Source organism: Homo sapiens, chromosome 4 (genome assembly GCF_000001405.40).
Source record: "Homo sapiens chromosome 4, GRCh38.p14 Primary Assembly".
NCBI lineage: Eukaryota > Metazoa > Chordata > Mammalia > Primates > Hominidae > Homo > Homo sapiens.
This window is the reverse complement of record NC_000004.12, coordinates 130022377-130042699: the sequence shown is the minus strand read 5'-3', so window position 1 is coordinate 130042699 and position 20323 is coordinate 130022377. Positions and strand designations below refer to the sequence as shown.

The following is a 20323-nucleotide window of genomic DNA, read 5'->3' as shown; positions in this document are numbered from 1 at the left end:
AAAAAAAGAATATGAAAAAGTCCAGGCGCAGTGGCTCACACCTGTAATCCCAGCACTTTGGGAGGTCGAGGCTGGCGAATCACTTGAAGCCAGGAGTTTGAGGCCAGCATGGCCAACATGATGAAACTCTGTCTCTACTAAACATACAAAAATTAGTTGGGCATGGTGGCACGCGCCTGTAATACTAACTACTCAGGAGACTGAGGCAGGAGAATCGCTTGAACCCGGGAGATGAAGGTTTCAGTGAGTCAAGATCATGCCTCCACACTCCAGCCTGGGCGACAGAGTGAGACTCCCTCTCAAAAACAAAACAAAACAAAAAAAGAATATGAAAAAGACACAGTAATAAAGGAAGTAATACAAGTAAGTATTTCAGAACTTAAGAACACAAAGCTCTAAGTTTTTTTTTATTCCAACTAAATCCTAATAAAATGAATGGATTAAAAAGACCTGAAGGCTCATAATCATTAAATTTCAAAATACTGGGATGTAGAGAAAATTTTAAAAGCATCTGAGTGCAAAAGCAAGTCATTTATAATTGATCAAGACTCAGAACATTATCAGAATTCTTAAAACATCATTAAAAGCTAAAGTAGTATCTTCTGAGCGAAAAATGTATGTTGGTTTGGACTGGGTGGAGGGAGAGAGTGGAATTCTTTATCTTGCCAAATAAGCAATCATTACACATTTTAATGATTTTCTATATTTTCTTTACTCCCAAGTACCATTCTTAAGCAGTTACTGTAGAATAGTATGTAGTAAAGAATCAAGCCTTTCCCCAAGAGATTTTTCTGGTTTTTGCCCTAAGCTTTTGGAAAGTAATGTCTTAAATCTTGGGATTTTATGCCTGATAGAAATGTCTTTGTCTGTCTACGGGCCTTGGAACATGCAGCACAGTCTAACAGTGTGATTTAAGGTGTGGCTGGCCATCCAAGGAAAGCAAGATAATTTATGTTGAGGGTTTTGGGCCATAAGATAGTAGTCAATCTAGAGACTGAAATCAACTATGTGTGCAATTAATTCATCAATCATACCTATGTAATGAAACCAAAAAAGAAGCTCAACAACAAGGCTCTGGTGAGCATCTCTTGCTGGCAATTCTCCGTGCATGTTGTCATAGATCAGTGTGGAAAGTAATGCATCCTGACTCCACAAGGATTAGACAAGAAAGTTCTGCATTTGGTATTTCCCCAAACTCTGCCCTATGTGCTTTTTGCTTTGGCTGATATTGATTTGTATTCCTTCCCTGTAATAAATGATAGACATGAGTAAAATGGCTTTCAGTAAGTTTTGCAAGTCCTTCTAGCAAATTATAAAAACTGTTTTGGAAACTTTCCAAACTTACAATTGGTGTCAAAAGTGAGGGTGGTTTTGTGTGGAATGTACTCTTTCCAAACTTTGTAGTTGGTTCTCCAAATACTGTAAATATGCTCCACCAAATGAGAAAATAAGCTGGGAAATATGTTTTGGGATCCTAGAAATGAGGCACATAATAAGAGTGAGAGGTGAGTAGAATTCTCAGGATGAAGAAGGAACAGCCCCAGATGCCAGTTGTGCAGTGGGTCTTAGTAAGCAGCCAGATTGGAACAGGAGTGCAGGAAGCTCAAGATAAATTCATTAAGGAAAATAAGGAGGAAAGAAAGAGAACTTGGAGGTTTCTACATGGGGGGCACTTTTACAGGGCCCCAATATATTAGGTTTATATAAGAGAGTGGGCAACTATTGCTCGATATTTTCATTTCTCAAACTGGAAATACAGATTTTTACATGAGAACTTTGATTTTTATATGAAAATGCCCAATTTCTAAATGTTGACAACAAATTCAAATTCAAACATTTTGCTGTATAAACATAACAAATCTGTGGGAACAAATCCATTCCACTAGCATACCACCAGTTTGCAGTTTGCAGTTTTGCTCTGCAGCATTTATTTTCTTTGCTCTGGCAGTGTTCTAAGCTAAAGCAAGACTCTTAGGATGCTCTGTTCTTATTGCTAATGTCCTATCCAGCCCTATTCCTTAAGATCATTGGGTTTTTAGTTATTTTTTTTTCCACAAATGGTTTGGAATTCTGAATTTGTTTGGTTCACTCAATGCTGAATGCCCATTTACTACCTTAATCTATAGACATGGGAGATTTCGTACTTCCTAGTGGATTCTCCAGTGGGAAGTCAGCTACCAAGTTTGAGTCAAGAGTCTTCATATGTATTAGTAAATATGAGCTTGGGTTACTGTCGCCACTGGGAAAAGACCACAGACTCCCTAATCTTGCTACTCTCCAATGTTGAGGATATTTTCCAAGGAACCAACACTTTTAAAGATCTCCAGCAAAATGGTTCCCCGGCTTAAAAGTACAGCCAGAGTCCTTGAGAAATCAGCACTTCCTTTAATTAATATCTGGAATGCAACTATTCTCACTATTTCTACCACTTCCCAGCCACCTAGAATGCAGCACAGATTAATACAATAGAACTCCAAACTGGGTAACCAGCTTCTACGCTCGTTCTTGACCTTTTCTCTCCACAGCCCCAAGAGTGTTCCTTTAAAAGGTCAAATGATGTCAGTCCTCTTCTCAAAGTCATCCAGTGGCTCCAACTTACCCAGAGTAAAAGCCCATGTAATCTTGTCTACAACCCTGGCCCCTCTTCCCAACCTTCCCTGATCTTTCCTCATTCACTCTGCCTTTAGCCAAATTGGCCTCTGTGGTAAACTGGAAAATAGCTCCCCAAAAGATATCCACCTCAAATCTCTGGAACGCATGAGTTTTAAAGGTCACAAGAGGATCTGCTGATCCTGGATTATCTGAGTAAAAACTGCAATCCTATGTATCCTAATAAAAGAAAGGCAGAGGGAGTTTTGAGAGAGACATACAGAGAAAAAGGTGATGTGAAGACAGGCAGAGATCAGAGTGATGTAGCTGCAAACCAAGGAACACCTACAGACAACATAATCTAGAAGAGGCAAGGAATGGAATCTCTCCTGTGGTCTACAGAGCAGAGGTCCCCAACCTTTTTGCTACCAGGGGCTGGTTTTGTGGAAGACAATTTTTCCCTGGGGTTGGGGGGAGATGGTTTCAGGATGAAATTGTTCCACCTCAGAACCTCAGATCAGCAGGTATTAGTTAGATATTCATAAGGAGCACACAACCTAGATCCCTTGTATGTGGAGTTCACAATACGGTTTGCCTTTCTATGGGAATCTGCTGCTGCCACTGATCCCACAGGTTAGCTCAGGCAATAATGCCGGTCAGCCCGCCACTCACCTCCTGCTGTGAAGCTGGGTTCCTCACAGGCCAGGGACTGATACTAGTCTTGGTGCGGGGAAAGGGGAACCCCTTGCTCTAGAGGGAGTTTGACCTAACACCTTGATTTCAGAATTGGAACCTCCAGAAATGTAAGAAATTCATTTATGTTGTTTTAAGTCACCCCATTTGCAGCCATTTATTACAGCAGCCACACAGCCTCTGCTGCTTTAGACGTATTGGCCTCTGAGCTTTTTTTTTCCAAGTTACTGTAAATTATTTATATATTTAATATATTCATTGTTTTAAATTGACAAATGATAATTGTATGTGTTTCTGGGGTGCCATGTGATTGAGAGGTGACAGCGTGCTGGCAGTCCTCACAGCCCTCGCTCGCTCTCGGCGCCTCCTCTGCCTGGGCTCCCACTTTGGCGGCACTTGAGGAGGCCTTCAGCCCACCGCTGCACTGTGGGAGACCCTTTCTGGGCTGGCCAAGGCCAGAGCCCACTCCCTCAGCTTGCAGGGAGGTGTGGAGGGAGAGGCGCGAGCGGGAACCGGGGCTGCGCGCGGCGCTTGCGAGCCAGCTGGAGTTCCGGGTGGGCGTGAGCTTGGCGGGCCCCGCACTCTGAGCAGCCGGCCGGCCCTGCCGGCCCCGGGCAATGAGGGGCTTAGCACCCGGACCAGCAGCTGCAGAGGGTGTACTGGGTCCCCCAGCAGTGCCAGCCCGCCGGCGCCGAGCTCGATTTCTTACTGCTTAGCTGCCTTCCCACGGGGCAGGCCTCGGGACTGCAGCCCGCCATGGCTGAGCCTTCCTCCGCCTCCATGGGCTTCTGTGCAGCCCCAGCCTCCCCGACAAGCGCCGCCCCCTGCTCCACGGCACCCAGTCCCATCGATCACCCAAGGGCTGAGGAGTGTGAGTGCATGGCGGGGGACTGGCAGGCAGCTCCACCTGCAGCCCCACTGCCGGATCCACTGGGTGAAGCCGGCTGGGCTCCTGAGTCTGGTGAAGACTTGGAGAACCTTTATGTCTAGCTCAGGGATTGTAAATACACCCATCGGCACTCTGTATCTAGCTCAAGGTTTGTAAACACACCAATCAGCACCCTGTGTCTAGCTCAGGGTTTGTGAATACACCAAGACACTCTGTATCTAGCTGCTCTGGTGGGGCCTTGGAGAACATTTATGTTGACACTCTCTATCTAGTTAATCTAGTGGGGACTTGGAGAACCTTTGTGTCTAGCTCAGGGATTGTAAATGCACCAATCAGTGCCCTGTCAAAACACACCACTGGGCTCTACCAATCAGCAGGATGTGGGTGGGGCAAGATAGAGAATAAAAGCAGGCTGCCGGAGCCAGCAGTGGCAACCCGCTGGGGTCCTCTTCCACAGTGTGGGATCTTTGTTCTTTCGCTCTTTGCAATAAATCTTGCTACTCCTCATTCTTTGGGTACACGCTGCTTTTATGAGCTGTAACACTCATTGCGAAGGTCTGCAGCTTCACTCCTGAAGCCAGCGAGACCACAAGCCCACTGGAAAGAACGAACAACTCCCGAGGCGCCGCCTTAAGAGCTGTAACACTCACCGCGAAGGTCCGCAGCTTCACTCCTGAGCCAGCGAGACCACGAACCCACCAGAAGGAAGAAACTCCGAACACATCCGAACCTCAGAAGGAACAAACTCCAGACGTGCCACCTTAAGAGCTGTAACACTCACCGCGAGAGTCCGCGGCTTCATTCTTGGAGTCAGTGAGACCAAGAACCCACCAATTCCGGACACATGATGTTTTGACTCACGTATACATCGTGCAATGATCAAATTAGGCTAATTTGCATATCCATCACCTCAAATATATACCATTTCTCTGGGGTGAGAACATTGAAAATTCTTTTAGCTATCTTAAAATATGTAATACATTCTTATTAACTATGTCACTTTGCTGTGCAATGGAACACCAGATTTATTACACCTTTGTAATTGTAACTTTGTACCCATTGACCAAGTCTCTCCCTTTACCCATTCAACTGCTCTCACCTCCTCAGCCTCTGGTAACCACCATTCTTTTCTGCTTCAATGTATTGGACTTTTAGATTCCACATTGTCTCTTTGTGCCTAACTTACTTTACTTCCCATATTGTCCTCCAGCTTCATCTGTGTCTCTGCTTTCTTTTATTTTTTATTTATTTATTTTTTTGAGACGGAGTCTAGTTCTGCTAGTTCTGTCACCCGGCCTGGAGAGCAGTGGCGCCATCTCAGCTCACTGCAACTTCCGCCTCCCGGGTTCAAGTAGTTTTCCTGCCTCAGCCTCCTGAGTAGCTGGATTACAGGCGCCCGCCACCACGCCCAGCTACTTTTTGTATTTTTAATAGAGACAGGGTTTCACTGTGTTGGCCAGGCTGGTCTCGAACTCCTGACCTCGTGTTCCGCCTGCCTCGGCCTGCCAAAGTGCTAGGATTACAGGCGTGAGCCACTGCACCTGGCCGTCTCTGGTTTCTTTGAAGAACTTTAGGCACACTCCAGGCTCAGGAAAACTGCATCTCTAGTTCTTTCTGATTGCAATAGCCTTCTCCCTGATAATCGAATGGCTTCTCCAGATCTTTCAAGTACTAACTACTTGGGGAGATCTACCCTAATCACCTCACTTAAATCTGCAATGTCCCAGCACTCCCCTCCTCTGCTGCTTTATTTCTCCCTGCAGCATGCATCTAATAACACTTTGTTTTAGTTATAAATGTGTTTATTATCTGCCTCCTTCAAAGATAACGTAAGCTCAGTGAGGGTAGGAGCTGTGGTCTGTTTTGTTTATCCCTGAATCCCCAGTGCCTATGGCGTGAAAAACATCGTTGGAAATATAATTAAGGAATCCATGCATGCAGAGTGAATGAAAGAACCAGGCAGAGAGTTGAAATCCTGACTAATAAGGTGATTTTTTTGTTGTTGTTTCTGAATTGGATCAGTGTGTTAAGACTTATATTTCATGTTGATCCTTCACTAAGCTTTCTTTCTTTTAACAAGTTTTATTCTCTTAACAGAGTTTATTTCCTTTTAGTGATCTTATTCAAATAAAATTTTAATGCTTATGAGCTGTCACTTTTTATTATTCCAAACTTGTTTTGCAATTTCTATAATACTTTATACATTTTATTTTTAATCTAGTTTCTAATGATCAGTGCATCTTTTTACTTTAAGACCTTTACCTCCAACTTTCTGCCATTTATTATTAATTTTATTTTACTTCTTTATTTACATTTTATCCACATTAATAGTGATACAGTGGTTAAAGGTGTAGACTCCATAACCATTGTATCTATGTTTAAATCCCACTTCCTATATTCACTAGAGTTGAAACTCTAAGGAAGTCACCTAATTTTCCTGGTTTGTAAAATGGTAACAATACTCACCTCCCAATTATAGGGTTCTTATAAATATTAAAGATTGAATAGATTTTAAGATTATCTAACAGCGTCAGGCTTACAATAACCCTAAAAAAAAGATTTTTAAGTTCCAAAGTAATTTTGTTACATTATTTTTATACCTGATTTTTTCTTATTTATCTTATTTTGACAGACAACATATGCATAAATTAAATATCAGAATCGCCAAATTTTTAAAGGAACAATTTTTAAAGGAACAATTTGTTTGAGGGACCTTTAAATATAAACTATTTATCTATATCACATCTCCCATATCCACCTTCATTCCTGCAATATGGTCTAAAACCTCAAATTTGTGTACTAGTACCAACCAGTGTATGAATTAGGAAATATCACTAACATTAGGCTTTCAAAACAGGAACATCTTTTGTGTCCCATAATAAAGAAGGGAGGGGGAAAAGCATTTTAAAATCGTGAAGTAAACTGCCCTGAAGGCTAAAATTGCTGCCAACTTAATAAGCCCAGTATGGTTTATGAAATATTTGTGCTCTGTCTGACAGCCACAGTAAAAACCTCCAGTAGGTTTTCAATTGGATAAAAGAAAAACCAGAATATATTGGAATGAGGCCACATTTATCTAAATCAACAGAGACATTTTTTACTGCAGTGACCTTCACTGCATCCTGAGGACTATAGCAGCATTAAAAAAAAAAGTCTTTTTTTTTCCTTAAATATATAAAATACCCTGAAAAGATCTGTCTTTATCTAGGTTTTTTTCCCATGATCACATATTCAAGAACTTCTTCTAAGGATTTCATATGCTTGAAGTTATTATACATTTCTCTCCACCTCCATAAGCTACTGTTATATTTTACATAAATGCTAAAATTCTCCTAGAAATGTCATATTCCTTTCTTTAATGATCATCACTCAAAACAACAGCTTTCAAAAAACCCATTGTGCTGACATCTAAGGAGAGAAATATTCTTAAGATGACTGGAATCAATCAACATAATGAAAAACCTAATGTTTAACATCTGTATAAATACTTAGATATGGGATAAAGTAAAGAGTCTGAGTAAACTAATCTCTTTTCTTTTTGGAGGAAACATTGGACTGAATTTGTAATCTCTTTATTTACCATAGATCCCAATACAGTGGACAAGATACTCCAGACATTTTACATGCATCTAATTTGCTGCTCAAGACATTCTACAAATCTTCATAATTTCAAGATCAACCATAATGCTTTCCAAGTTGCCAAATTTTAAAATATACTAGTTTAAACCATGGTTATTAAGTTAAAAGAAATATATATATACACATATATACATTATATATATATATATATATATTTTTAGATGGAGTCTTGCTCTTGTTGCCCAGACTGGAGTGCAGTGGCGCGATCTTGGCTCACTGCAACCTCCGCCTCCCGGGTTCAAGCGATTCCCCTGCCTCAGCCTCCTGAGTAGGTGGGAGTACAGGTGTGTAGTGCCACCACGCCCGACTAATTTTTTGTATTTTTTTAGTAAACACGGGGTTTCACCATGTTGGCCAGGATGGTCTCTATCTCCGTACCTCATGATCCACTCGCCTTGCCTCCCAAAGTGCTGGGATTACAGGTGTAAGCCACCACGCCCGGCCCTAAAATATTATTTTTAATTGGAAGGGGAAATACGGAATTAATTTTATCTCAGTTTCCTCCATCTTTCCATTTGGCCAAACTAACTTTTCATTAAATTTATATTACTTGATAATTAAAATAAATAGAATAGATATCCTTTTATTTTTTATAACATATATGTGCATATATTTGTGCATATGTACATAGATATGAATAAAATATTTAAGTCTCACATACATGGATACATTTCCCTGGCATTCATATATTTAATATTAAGATGCCCATTGTGTGGCCGAGTGCGGTGGCTCATGCCTGTAATCCCAGCACTTTGGGAGGCCGAGGCGGGCGGATCACGAGGTCAGGAGATCGAGACCATCCTGGCTAACATGGTGAAACCCCATCTCTACTAAAAAATTACAAAAAAATTAGCCGGGCGTGGTGGTGGGTGCCTGTAGTCCCAGCTACTTGGAAGGCTGAGGCAAGAGAATGGCGTGAACCCAGGAGACGGAGCTTGCAGTGAGCCAAGCTCGCACCATTGCACTCCAGTCTGGGCGAAAGAGCAAAACTCCATCTCAAAAAAATAAATAAATAAATAAATAAATAAATAAATAAATAAATAAATAAATAAAATTGCCCACTGGGTTATGTGAAATGGTTCACTAAAGAGTAATCCAAAATACTAAGTATGTTCCTCTAATATGAAAAAAGAAAAATTTTAATCATCCATGCTACTTGCTTATCCATACCTTTTCTTATGTGTAACTTGCTAGTAAGTTATGACTGGAGGCGTGCCTAAAAAGCCTTAGGTCTTCAAAATGTGACCCATCTGTCCCTGTGCTACTGACCAAAATTGCTTCACAAAGGTTCCTTTGAGTTAGACAATGAAGGAGCTGTGAAAATTAAACACGACCTATTACAGGTGGTATGTTATGCCTTATAAGCCTTAGTTGTTAGTGGCTTAGCAAGTTGCTCTGCAATCTAGCATGGCCTTCAAGAAAAGAATGAAGAACTGCTGACCTTTAATCTAGTGAATGCGTGTGAAAGAGAAGGTGATAGGAAAATGCCTTGAGAATGACATGATTCTTTAATTCAAGGAGTCACATGCTGGCATAGCATGTGGTCATCTGGGGGATATTGGAAACACAGGAAGTATCTAGAACACAGTGATAACTACAGGCTTCCAAATCATCATCCAGAGCGGCCTCATAATGTTTCGTTTGCAGATAAAATTTTAATGAATTCATTTATTTAAAAATATTTATCAAGTACCTATTCTATGCTAATATCTGTTCTAGGAATTGAGCTTCATTAGTGAAGAAAACACAACATAGGGAAGAAAACAAAATTTCTACCTGCATGAAGCTTACCGTCTTGGGTAGTGATCTTGGCTCACTGCAACCTCCATCCTGGGTGGCAAAAAGAGAAAATAAACATAACCAATAATTAAAATATAGAGAGTAATTGAAAATGATACATTGAAAAATATAAAAGAAAGAGAGCATTATAAGGAGGACCAGGTGTAAGGGATTGGGATAGCTATGTTGGAATTTTAAATACAGTGACTGGATTAGGGCTCATTGAGAAGTGCCATCTGCATAAAGATCTGAAAGAGGTGAGGAAATTAGCAAGGCAGTTGTCTCGAAGGGCAGATGTTGAAGCAGGGGAACAGAAGTAAAAGACAAGGTCAGGGAGATGGCAGGGGACACACTGCTGACCATTTAAGGCTTCATCAGTCATTGTAAGGATGTTAGCTTTTACTTTTAGAAAACTGAGAAGTCACTGCAGAGTTTTGATCTAAGAAGTAACATGAGCTGAAATTTTCACAGGATCACTCTGGCTGCTATTTTGAGAATAGATCATAGTTAGACAACAGTAGGAATAAGGAGAACAGTAGGGCTACAGTTACACCCATCCAGGTGAGAGATGATATTGCCAGGGTCCACGGTGACAGCAGCAGAAGTGATGAAAATGATCACAATCACCTTATGAATGTATTCTAATATTATTCTCCGATCGATTGGATGTGAGCATAAGAAAAATAAAGTAAAATAATAACTTGATGGCTGTTTTGAGCAGAACTGAGCTGGAGAGAACTGAGCTGCCTGGTGTCAGGGTAATTAAGACAAGAAACCAAAATGAAAGCAAAAATCAAGTCTTTACTCAATAGCAAAGAAAGAAGCTAAATAGGAGAATGTGTTGGTCCTTCAATGTTTCATTCTTCTTCCATAGAATGGCTGCAGGCAAGGGTCAGGTAAATCAGCACAGACTTAAGGATCATCTTACTGTTGATGTAGGCTCCAAAAAATTCCCAGACAAAAAGATCTCCAAATGAGGGCACTTAGCCTAGGAATGAAGGTGTAAGAGCATGGGCAGCCAAGGAATCTAGAGTTCATAACTGCAACTCTCTTTAGAGACAACAGAGCACTCTCTGTGCCTCACGTGGTATGGGGAGGGCAGCTTTCTTGCATTAAGTCCTATCTGGTAGAGACTTTGTAATTGCCTGAAACATCACAGATAGGTTTTTAGCCATGACACAGACTCCATATTAAATAACGTGACATACAGCCGAGATACGTTGTAAAAATTTTTCAGAGAAGATAGAGGGATTCAGTTTTGGACATTTCATTTTCTGAGTCGTCGGTTTAAGCTAAAATATGATGTAATAATAAAAACCTCCAAATCTCAATAGTTTATAAAGATTAAAATTTTTTCTCTTACTACACATTCATAAAGTTTCTGAATTTGTCTTTTATTTCTTAGTCTACTATTGTTCCCTTCATATTAAAAGGTACTTTTAATTCCAGAAGATCCTCAAAAATCTACTTTTTAGATATCATTTTGGGATTCCATGGATATCTTCTCCTTTTAGTAAAGGTACGATCAATAGATGAACTGAATTAAACCCTGACACCCAGGTGCCATGGCAAAACTCCCTATGTAGCCAACATTCCATTGTCCAGAAGCTTCCAAGATAATTGAGGAATACAACATTTTATAGGGGCACAAACAGTAAACTGAAAGCTAGGAAACAAGATTCTGGTTCCTACACTGAGCCCCAACATACAATTAAGTTTGGGGCCATTTTAAGACCTCGACCTTGGAAATATTTGTAATTTTTAACATACTTAATCAACTAAGACTCTTGAAACTGAAAGTGACAAAAAGCCAAATTCAAACTCTAATAAGTCAAAAACAAAATGGATTTCCTCTCCTTATTAGAAAGTCAGTATATGGGACTGGAGCCAAACACACCGGGGGCAGGGCGGCCTCATGGAGCAGTGGTTGGACTAATGAATACCTGCAGCATCAGCAATTCAATACTGTCCTCCTTCTCAAACTAGTTCTCCCCTGCATATTGCATTATGACCACAGGAACTTCAGGTCTTACATATTCATAACCTGAAGCCCAGTAGAAAAAGAGAGAATTTTCCTTTTAACGGAAAGTAAGACAACAGACCTGATCCTGGCTATCACTGTTACAAAATATGCCTCTGCTTAGTTAAACCACTGTGGCCAGAGAAATGACTTAAGGCAATTAATTATATTCCTTTTCTTTAGCTGGGTAGTTTAGCCACCAAGAAACACGCGTATTGATAACAGAGGGACAAATTTCCCAAAGGAAATGTGAAATTATTCTTTAACAGAAAAAAATGAATGTAGACCTTGTGAGTGTAAAGGCATGTAATTTGGCAAAAATTACCTACTGTTCTTTATCCATAAAGTGAAGGTTTTATACTAAATGATTTCAATGTCTCTTGTAGATCAATGCTTTTTACACATCCCAGAGTCATTTCATGTTGTGAGCCTCTGGGTCCTCTTTACAGGTAAGACTCATGCAGCTCTGAGGACCCTGGTGAAATTGGGACATGAGACAGACACAGGTTTAAAACATTATGATATATTTCAAACAATTTCTCTGAGATTTTTTCTATTTAGAAGCTAAACTGCAAATATTTTATTCTTATGATAGATAAGTTAGCCTCGATTTTTATGAGTGTATATACCATTAATGCATTTGTGATACCTATTAGTTGATGTTAATTCTTTTCTCATATGGTAGTTTCACTATATGCAATTTGTTAATAAACACATATCAAAGATACTAGTAAATTTGTGGGACAAATAAATAGTGTTGCTTCATAATAAAATTACCTTTATGTTTTATATTTTAATTTTATTAGTTATGACTTGAAATGGACAGTTAATACATTCCTTCAATGCACATTTTAATATGGCACTACCATACATTTTTCTTATTTAGGTATAGCATTAACTGTTACTTTTTCAAGCCATAATGCTTGCTTTTCAAGGGCTGACACTAATTTTCATTTCATTCTGCTTTGGAATAGATAACAGGGAAGAATAATTATCACTTTCAAAATGAGGGTATTGATTCTTGACCCATGCATTACAACTATGACTGAATGTGTGTGCTTTGTGCTTAATAAACCATAAAATAATAGCATACTTACACTTTCAAATAATGTACAAACACTTAAAATATAACAGCAATTAAAATGGTTAACAGCAGACATCTGCACTATTGGGACAAAATGAGCATGTTTACATGAAATAATAGTATCGTGGGTTTATGGTGATTCTAAACTTTTGAATTTAAGAACTTAATCATTGTCAATCAAATTAACTTAATAAATTTGACCTGTGAACCTTAACCATGTGATGAAGAATGTGCTATCAGCTGTCTCAAGTTCCCTTTCCTTATACCAAGGATAACTATTTAGGATTGGGGTGTGTGTTTGTTTGTTTTTAGCCAAACCCGTTGATTAATGGTCATTAAGGTGATCTAAACAAGTACTCAGGATTTCTCCCTCCTGCTGGGCACTTCCCTGAGGGAGAGAGTATTTGACCACCCACATTTACTTTGTCCCTGTCCAAGTATATTGCCTATCTCTTGAACATGCCCATTATCCACTTTTCCCACTAGCAAATATTCAGTGTTATATCTGACTTAGACTACATATTCAGAGAGAGGTCAGCTCATTATCTCATGGTGTGTGGTGACAGACAAGTTAAGGGATTAGAGTGTCATTCAGTAAGATAAGATAATGTGACAGAAAAGGAGCAAATAAATAAACTAACTGTTTAGTGCTCCTGGAGCATGGATGCTACAGAGCTTCAGTGTTGGTAAAACAGAGGAGACACACGTAGATTCATAAAATTTCAATCATAGGCATAGTCTCCCATAAAAATGTTTGACCATATATCCATTTTATGCATTAAAAATATATTGAGACAACTAATTTACACTGGAGAGAAAAGTTTTTTATAATATTAATTCGTTGATATAAAAATGATACTCAGAAATTATACATTTCAATTCTCATCTTTTGTAAACAAATAAGGCATTTTCATTTGAAAAATGTTGATTCTGAAGAATCAATACCTAAGTATCACAGAGATATATCCCAGCTATATGACTAAATTTCTAATTTTAATAATTGTTGTTGTTAAATTGAACTAAGTCTGAGCTTTAGAAGCTTCAGTACAAGTCCTCCTAAATAAACTGCAACCTAAGCTGGTATATAAAAAAGCTGAAAACTTATCTTCGGAATTTGCCTTTATAACAAATAGCTGAGTCTCAGCCAATCACTCCAGCCTAGCTTCAGTCCATGGCAGCCAGCAGGCTGTTCAAACCACATTCAATTAAGGCAAATGCTGAGCTTTAACCGATTAATCTGGCTGTACCTCACTTCTGCTTTTTGTATGTCACTTCCTTGTCCCTGGCTATAAATAAAACCTGCACTTGTGAGGTGGAACATTCTGAATGATTTTTGGTCCTGACTGCTGTCCGATTCTGGAATTGCAGATACAAGCCAATTAAGATCTGCAAAACTAGGTTTGTTGTACTTTTGTCTTTTAAGAATCTAATAGATACACATGATTTTATGAAGATAATTATTCTACTAAATTCAATTCAAGAGGTAATATAGGTATTTTTCTAAGCCCATATTATCCAAGATGTGGCTATAAAGCACCTGAATGTGGCTAGTCCAAACTGAGATGTACTGTAAGTGGAATATATACACTAGATTTAGAAGTACAAAAAAGTGTAAAATATCTCAATAATTAATTTATATTCATTATATGTTGAAAAAATAATATTTTGGGATATGACAGATTAAATAAAATATGACATTGTAATTAATTTCACCGATTTTTCTTTACTCTTAAATGTGGCTGCTAGAAAATTTTACATTCCAATGTAAGGCTTACATTATATTTCTATTGGATCGCTGTGTTCTAGGCAGTACAGCATAGCATTAGCATATTGAAAATTACCTTTTTTCATTCCAGACTCATGCATGGTTCATATAAATCATGGCCTTTATGTTAAAAATGCTCTCATATAGCTAAAGCCATTAGAATGTGCTATCATAAAGGAATAAAGAAATGAATTTTCCTCCACTTACAATTTCATAACTGACACTGAAGTCTTTTTCTCTGTAACTATTCCATGCATTAGGAATGTCTGGTACAAAGCATAAATCTGCACAGTTGTACATTTTGTTATGATTCGTTTTGACATTCCCAATTACATTTTGGAAACCTTAGCTACAATGTGCCCAGCAATTTTTTCAACCAGCTGAATAAATTTTGTTAAAATCATCTAAGGTATTGAAACATTTATTTATTTAGCTATTAGCTCTAGTTTCTTTGGGATACCCAAAAGTTGAATTTGCACTCAAATTTATATACTATCTTATTATTAAATAGTACAGAGCTGGTAGAACCCCACTTTCAGAAACACTGGGCTTCTGTGGTTCCTTCCTGGAGTAAATGGAATGTGTGAAGTTATTAATTTTTGTTCAGCAAGTACCGGTGTGAAAACTGATCTTTTTATAAACACTGGTGAAATGAAGAAAATAACCTCTTGCTATTTCTATTATCAATCCCAGCTTTTTTGTCTAATACTTAAATTTGACCAAACCCTTGAGCCAAATCAACTTTTTTCTAAACTCACTTGCCAATTTTTTTTAAAGCTAAACTTTTCTCCATGCACCACTTTTATCGAAATAAAGAACAACCAAATGTCAAACAATCTGTTTCTATTCTAAGAAGACTTCTATCTAGATGGTGTTTGCAGTACTCGAATATAGAATACATTTTTGGAACATCAAATAAGGTAGCTAGGAGACCTAAAAATTCACTGCATAAAATTTCTATCATAAGTTATTTTATAATCTATAGCCACAATAAAAATAAAAGATTAAAATAAAAGATATTCATGATTAAAGAATGTTTTTTGACTGAGAGTAAAAATACTATATTTGAACTACATGAAGTAAACTCATGGGCACTTACCTTAACACAGTATAACCCCGATTAAAGTTGTTTTTCAGGATCCTAAAAAGATAATTTATACGTAGTATTAGATATCTAGAAAAAGTGAAATATAAATCTATTTATTTGTAAGCGCTCATTCTCAAAAATCAAATTTTTGCATAATATCAATTCTATACCCTGAAGTCCATGTACAAGAGCCAATATACATTGTGTAATACCCAAATCTTTTTATAGTGTAGCATCAGGAAGTAGTCTTCTTTGAAAATAATTCTATTCACAAGATGAATTCTGTGGAGATTATCTTTTGAGCATACCAATGAATTCTCCAAACAACATTTTTTTTAAATCATGAAATTTAACAGAATGCCAAATTAAAAAAAAATATACTTACAATTGATAGTAAAATAGACAGTCATCCAACCTTTATATTATTATTATTTGAAAATTTATGTTTGCAGTGGAGATAGTGTATAACATAATATAAATAGATGTAAAGGCAGAATGAGAAAGATGCTTTGTTTTTAATTTTCTTAATAAGAACTGGCGCATTCCTCCTTTGCTTTTGATAATTTCAATTGGCCACACTCACACTGTATAAACCAATAAAAGATCTCAGATAATAGAGGGAAGAGGAGGTGAGCCACCTGGCTGTATTCCCTTTTTAGCAATTCTATGGCATTGTTGTGGAAGTCAATTCAGCTCCAGGCAGTTAGGAAGTTAGCTTTTACTGAGTACTCACTACACACTGAGTAGAGCACTCACACCCGCCAGGAACAACTGGGACCACCTGTGGAGCAGAGCAAGAAAGCACCTGGGGACAAGTGAAGAGGCAAACAGAAACCAATTAGCTTAATAAGGCAAGGTTTTCTACAGGATGTTGCAGCTTGAGTCCCACTGTTCTGGCTTTCTCTTTACTATTTTGCCCTCTAAGTTATTTTATTTTTTTCCCCACAAAAGAAGCCTGCCTTATTCCAGTTTTTGAAATTTGCTAGTTTAATTTCCTGTTTTCTTAGCATTTTGTCACAAATTTTAATATATCCTTGCTTGTTAAATATTATTTACGTGTACTTGTTCTTCTCAAATAACTACATAGACTGAGCAAAATAATTATTAATTTTATTTCTATTATTTTACACAAAAGGTTTATTATATAATCATGTAATTATTTCATGTAATCTTGTTGGTTTTTTTTCTTTTACTTTTAAGCACATGATTAATCCTGTTATCCGTTAACTTTAATGAATGTGGTTAAGGACTTGCTACTCTAAGTGTTTCAGAGAATCCAATGAGATTACTGTTCTAAAAGCACATAGGAAATAGAAATGGAAAAATAAACAGTACTTAGCATAGGGTCCATGGGAAGGGGACAAGATTGCTACAGAAGATCAGAGAAGAAATGAACCAAATATTTGGAATAAACTACTCTTACCTAAAAACACTTTTTAAAGAAGCTAATGAAAAATGTTTTCTAAGTTCCATAATGGAGAATGTGACAGACATACAACAAATTAAGTCAAACAAAGAGCCCATTAAAATTAACATCAAGGTGAACCAAAATTAAATAACATTTGAGACAGTAAGTAGCAGGCTATAAACTGTAGAAAATTCAGCATGAGACTCCTAAATGTCTTCTAAACTATCTTTGGGCCAACTTTTACTCCAAATCACACAAAACTCACTCTAATTAACTAGTGCCTTCAAACAAAAAGAGCCACTACCTACTGAGTCTCATTTGAAGAGTGCCCAGCAATAATGTGTACCCAATGTTACAACCATGAAGCTCATGATTGGTGCAATTAAACTAAAAATCCAGAGGCAATACCAACATACCCTCTGGGATTACAGAGATAGACAAAACTATACCTCATTCCAATCCCTGGGATGATTATAAATGTGAAGTCTGCCAACAATGTAAGCCTTTACAAATATTGGCCGTTTTCCTATTAGTTATATTGATCTCCCCCACTCCAGTGCAAGACTCATTTATTGAGGTGGAAAGAAATTGCACTAACAGACCAAGCGTACCTGACCATGGGCCTCATTCCTGATCACTTATCAATAGATATATATAAGGAACATGATGTATACAACATAATATTACCTGGGCCAAAGCATGTCTCAAAAATCAGGGACTACAACCATCTTGGGAACTGTTCTCTAACCTGAAAATACCAACTGCAAGTTTTACATAACTCTCAAGGAAAAAATTCTCTACAATTGCAACACTGGCTTCCCACAGAATCAACCAGAGCTCTTGGATATTACAGCCAAGGGAATTCTTACAAAAATATATTTAATTTGTTTAATATATACAAATATACTTAATCATATGGAGAAGTCTAGATGTTCTCTGAATAAGTTTCCCCACCCAGTTCTACTAAGACCACCACTAATAAGAAATTAGGAAATAAATTAGGGAAATTTCCACCCAATGTTATTCTGGGAAATTCTTAAAAACGTACACACTCCACCATAAAGGAGATAGAAACAACAGGGAAAAACTCAGAGATAAATTTGACCTGGGAGGAAATGTATTGGTATAATTACACCATCATCTTTGAAGGGGTCCCCTCTGAGGCTACTAAAGGTATACAATTGGCTGACCTAGAAAAATTTTCCCTACCACAGAAGCAATGGAGCAAGCAGTGACCCAATGAAGCACAGCAATGTCATGATAACAGGAATAGAAATGGGTCAAATGTATAATACGATCGATGTCTATTTCTGAAATAATTTGGTCCACTTGTGATGATCTCATATTTGAATCACATGGTTCTGATTCTGAACCCAGAGTTCAAATCTAATTTGGTAAATGGCTGAATTCAGAAAAGAAAGCAAGCATTTGTATGATCTTTATTTTTCTGAATACAGTAATGTTTCTTCATAATATGTTTTTTTTCTTTTTTGGTGGGACAAAGAGTTTAGCCTAAAACAGGTTTTCTCAACCTTCACACTATTGACATTGTGGATCAGATGACTCTTTGTTGCTGGAGGAGGGGAACCTTCCTGTGTATTGTAGGATTTAATAGCATCCTTGATCTCTACTACACATAACTAGTGCCCTCCCTGTCCCCAGTATGACTATCAAATACATCTCCAGATTTGCTGAATATCCCCTATGGAACAAATCCCACCACACGCCACCTGACTGGCCTAGAAAGCATGCTAGACCTTTTTATTCTGGCTTGCCTATACCCACTCCCAGTCCTCCCGTTTCTAGTTACTGGAATCTTGTCCACTCACCAGATTATTTTTGGATGGGTGGATAAATGGACTTTTCATTAATTGCCAAAATTTCTTCTTCCAAACTACGCTTTTAACATTAGGCTTAATTTTTGCTATTTTTTCCTCTTTGAATTATTTTTATTTATTTTGGTTCTTTTAAAATAGCAAAAAAGGTTTGTACATCTGTGACTTTATCCCCATATTTTCCCATAACTCTTTCTGTTCTTTTTTAAGTAGGACTTACTCATAAAAAGATTTTTGGCTCAATAAAGTTCCGAAGTTCGGCCACTTTATAGGTTAAAAAAATATTCTTTCAAAGTACAAATGTAACTGGGAGATGTGAAATACTGTCACTGATGAAATTCATTTTGTGAGTTAAAAAATTACTGTTTCAGAATATAAGTCTAAACTAAAGCTTTAAAATACTGTCATTCAGTCTTTACGGATGTTATTTATCATTAGTTTCTTCCTTTGCCTTGACTCTCTTAAGAAAAGTGAAGTTTAAAATACATTTTACACAAAATAATTTTTTCCGGCTCTTAGAAAAGAATAGGCACTTTGAATCAGTGATGCTGGATTTTTAATAGGGGGTTCTGTGTGCTGGTGCCTTCTCAGAGTGTCTTGCTGTGAATTGTGAGATGCTCTGTGGGTGGGAGAAGTGACTGGCTTCCTGGCCCTGGTGAATATAAACATTAGAATGACAGAGAACATGCAAGGAGTTAGGAAACCTTTATCTACTTAAATATTTCCTCAGAGTAAAAGACAAATGAAATTATATGCTATTACATACATCTATATTGAGTCTCCGCTTTGTTCTTTCTCTTGCCTCTTCATTCTGGGAAATATCTTCTGGATTCTACAAATACACATTACATGTTTCGTAAACTTAATTTTCTAAATTTTTCAATTTATTTTCAAACTCTATTTGAATCATCCAGTATTATTTGACATTGTGAAATAATGTAAATTCAGCCTCTACTTCACATATAAAGGTGCAGAGTCCACAGAAAGCTGTCTAAATACATGCTTGGGGTGGGTCTCTGATACCAATTGTTGTTGATGCTGAGAGAGGCAAGGACGTTTTTTTTCTTAAAAAGTGTGTCCTGTGCTTCACGTGTGAAAAAAGAGGCTAGAAGAAAAATTAATTTACATGGACAAATTGTGCAAGAGATAATCAAGCACCTGGATTTTTGTACACAGATCACAACAAAAGCAATGCAAGCATTGTGAAGAACATGTTCTAATAAAACCTTGGAAAATCCAAAAAAAAAAAATGTATCTCTAGAGCCAAGTTAATTAACATTAGGGAAGAACTAATACAATACCTGGAAAAAGCTACCAGTGAGAAAAGTTGTTTATTGCTTTATCTATTTTAATAATTTCATTTTCTTGATCTTTTACATGCAATTTAAACCCATGTCTTGGATTGGATTTCCTAGACAGAGAGCCCAAGACAGCGAATCGGAGCATGTGATTAACTGAAGGAGAACTCTTGAACAAATCTATCAGGAAATGAAGTCTAATAGGAAAGAGGGAGGAAACAAACAAAGATGTGTCCT

At 37.7% G+C, this 20323-nt stretch overlaps 1 long non-coding RNA gene and 1 pseudogene across 1 annotated transcript, besides 3 other annotated features; one reads left to right on the top strand and one right to left on the bottom strand.

Moving 5' to 3' along the window:
* Window positions 1-11934: 11934 nt before the first annotated feature.
* LOC105377418 (uncharacterized) lies at window positions 11935-19622 on the bottom strand. The gene is made up of 3 exons (XR_939192.3): window positions 19555-19622; window positions 15558-15599; window positions 11935-12084 (listed from the first exon to the last, which is right to left on the bottom strand). It is a non-coding gene; the product is annotated as an uncharacterized LOC105377418 (long non-coding RNA).
* Window positions 12709-13408: an enhancer, noted in NCBI's record as "OCT4-NANOG hESC enhancer chr4:130950447-130951146 (GRCh37/hg19 assembly coordinates)". NCBI's record gives its function as "activates a minimal SCP1, AML or CMV promoter by ChIP-STARR-seq in naive H9 embryonic stem cells {active_cell/tissue: H9 hESC(naive)}" and the evidence as "EXISTENCE:reporter gene assay evidence [ECO:0000049][PMID:30033119]".
* Window positions 15846-16392: an enhancer, noted in NCBI's record as "OCT4-NANOG hESC enhancer chr4:130947463-130948009 (GRCh37/hg19 assembly coordinates)". NCBI's record gives its function as "activates a minimal SCP1, AML or CMV promoter by ChIP-STARR-seq in naive and primed H9 embryonic stem cells {active_cell/tissue: H9 hESC(naive and primed)}" and the evidence as "EXISTENCE:reporter gene assay evidence [ECO:0000049][PMID:30033119]".
* Window positions 16393-16941: an enhancer, noted in NCBI's record as "OCT4-NANOG hESC enhancer chr4:130946914-130947462 (GRCh37/hg19 assembly coordinates)". NCBI's record gives its function as "activates a minimal SCP1, AML or CMV promoter by ChIP-STARR-seq in naive and primed H9 embryonic stem cells {active_cell/tissue: H9 hESC(naive and primed)}" and the evidence as "EXISTENCE:reporter gene assay evidence [ECO:0000049][PMID:30033119]".
* Window positions 19817-20113, top strand: CYCSP14 (CYCS pseudogene 14; annotated as a pseudogene).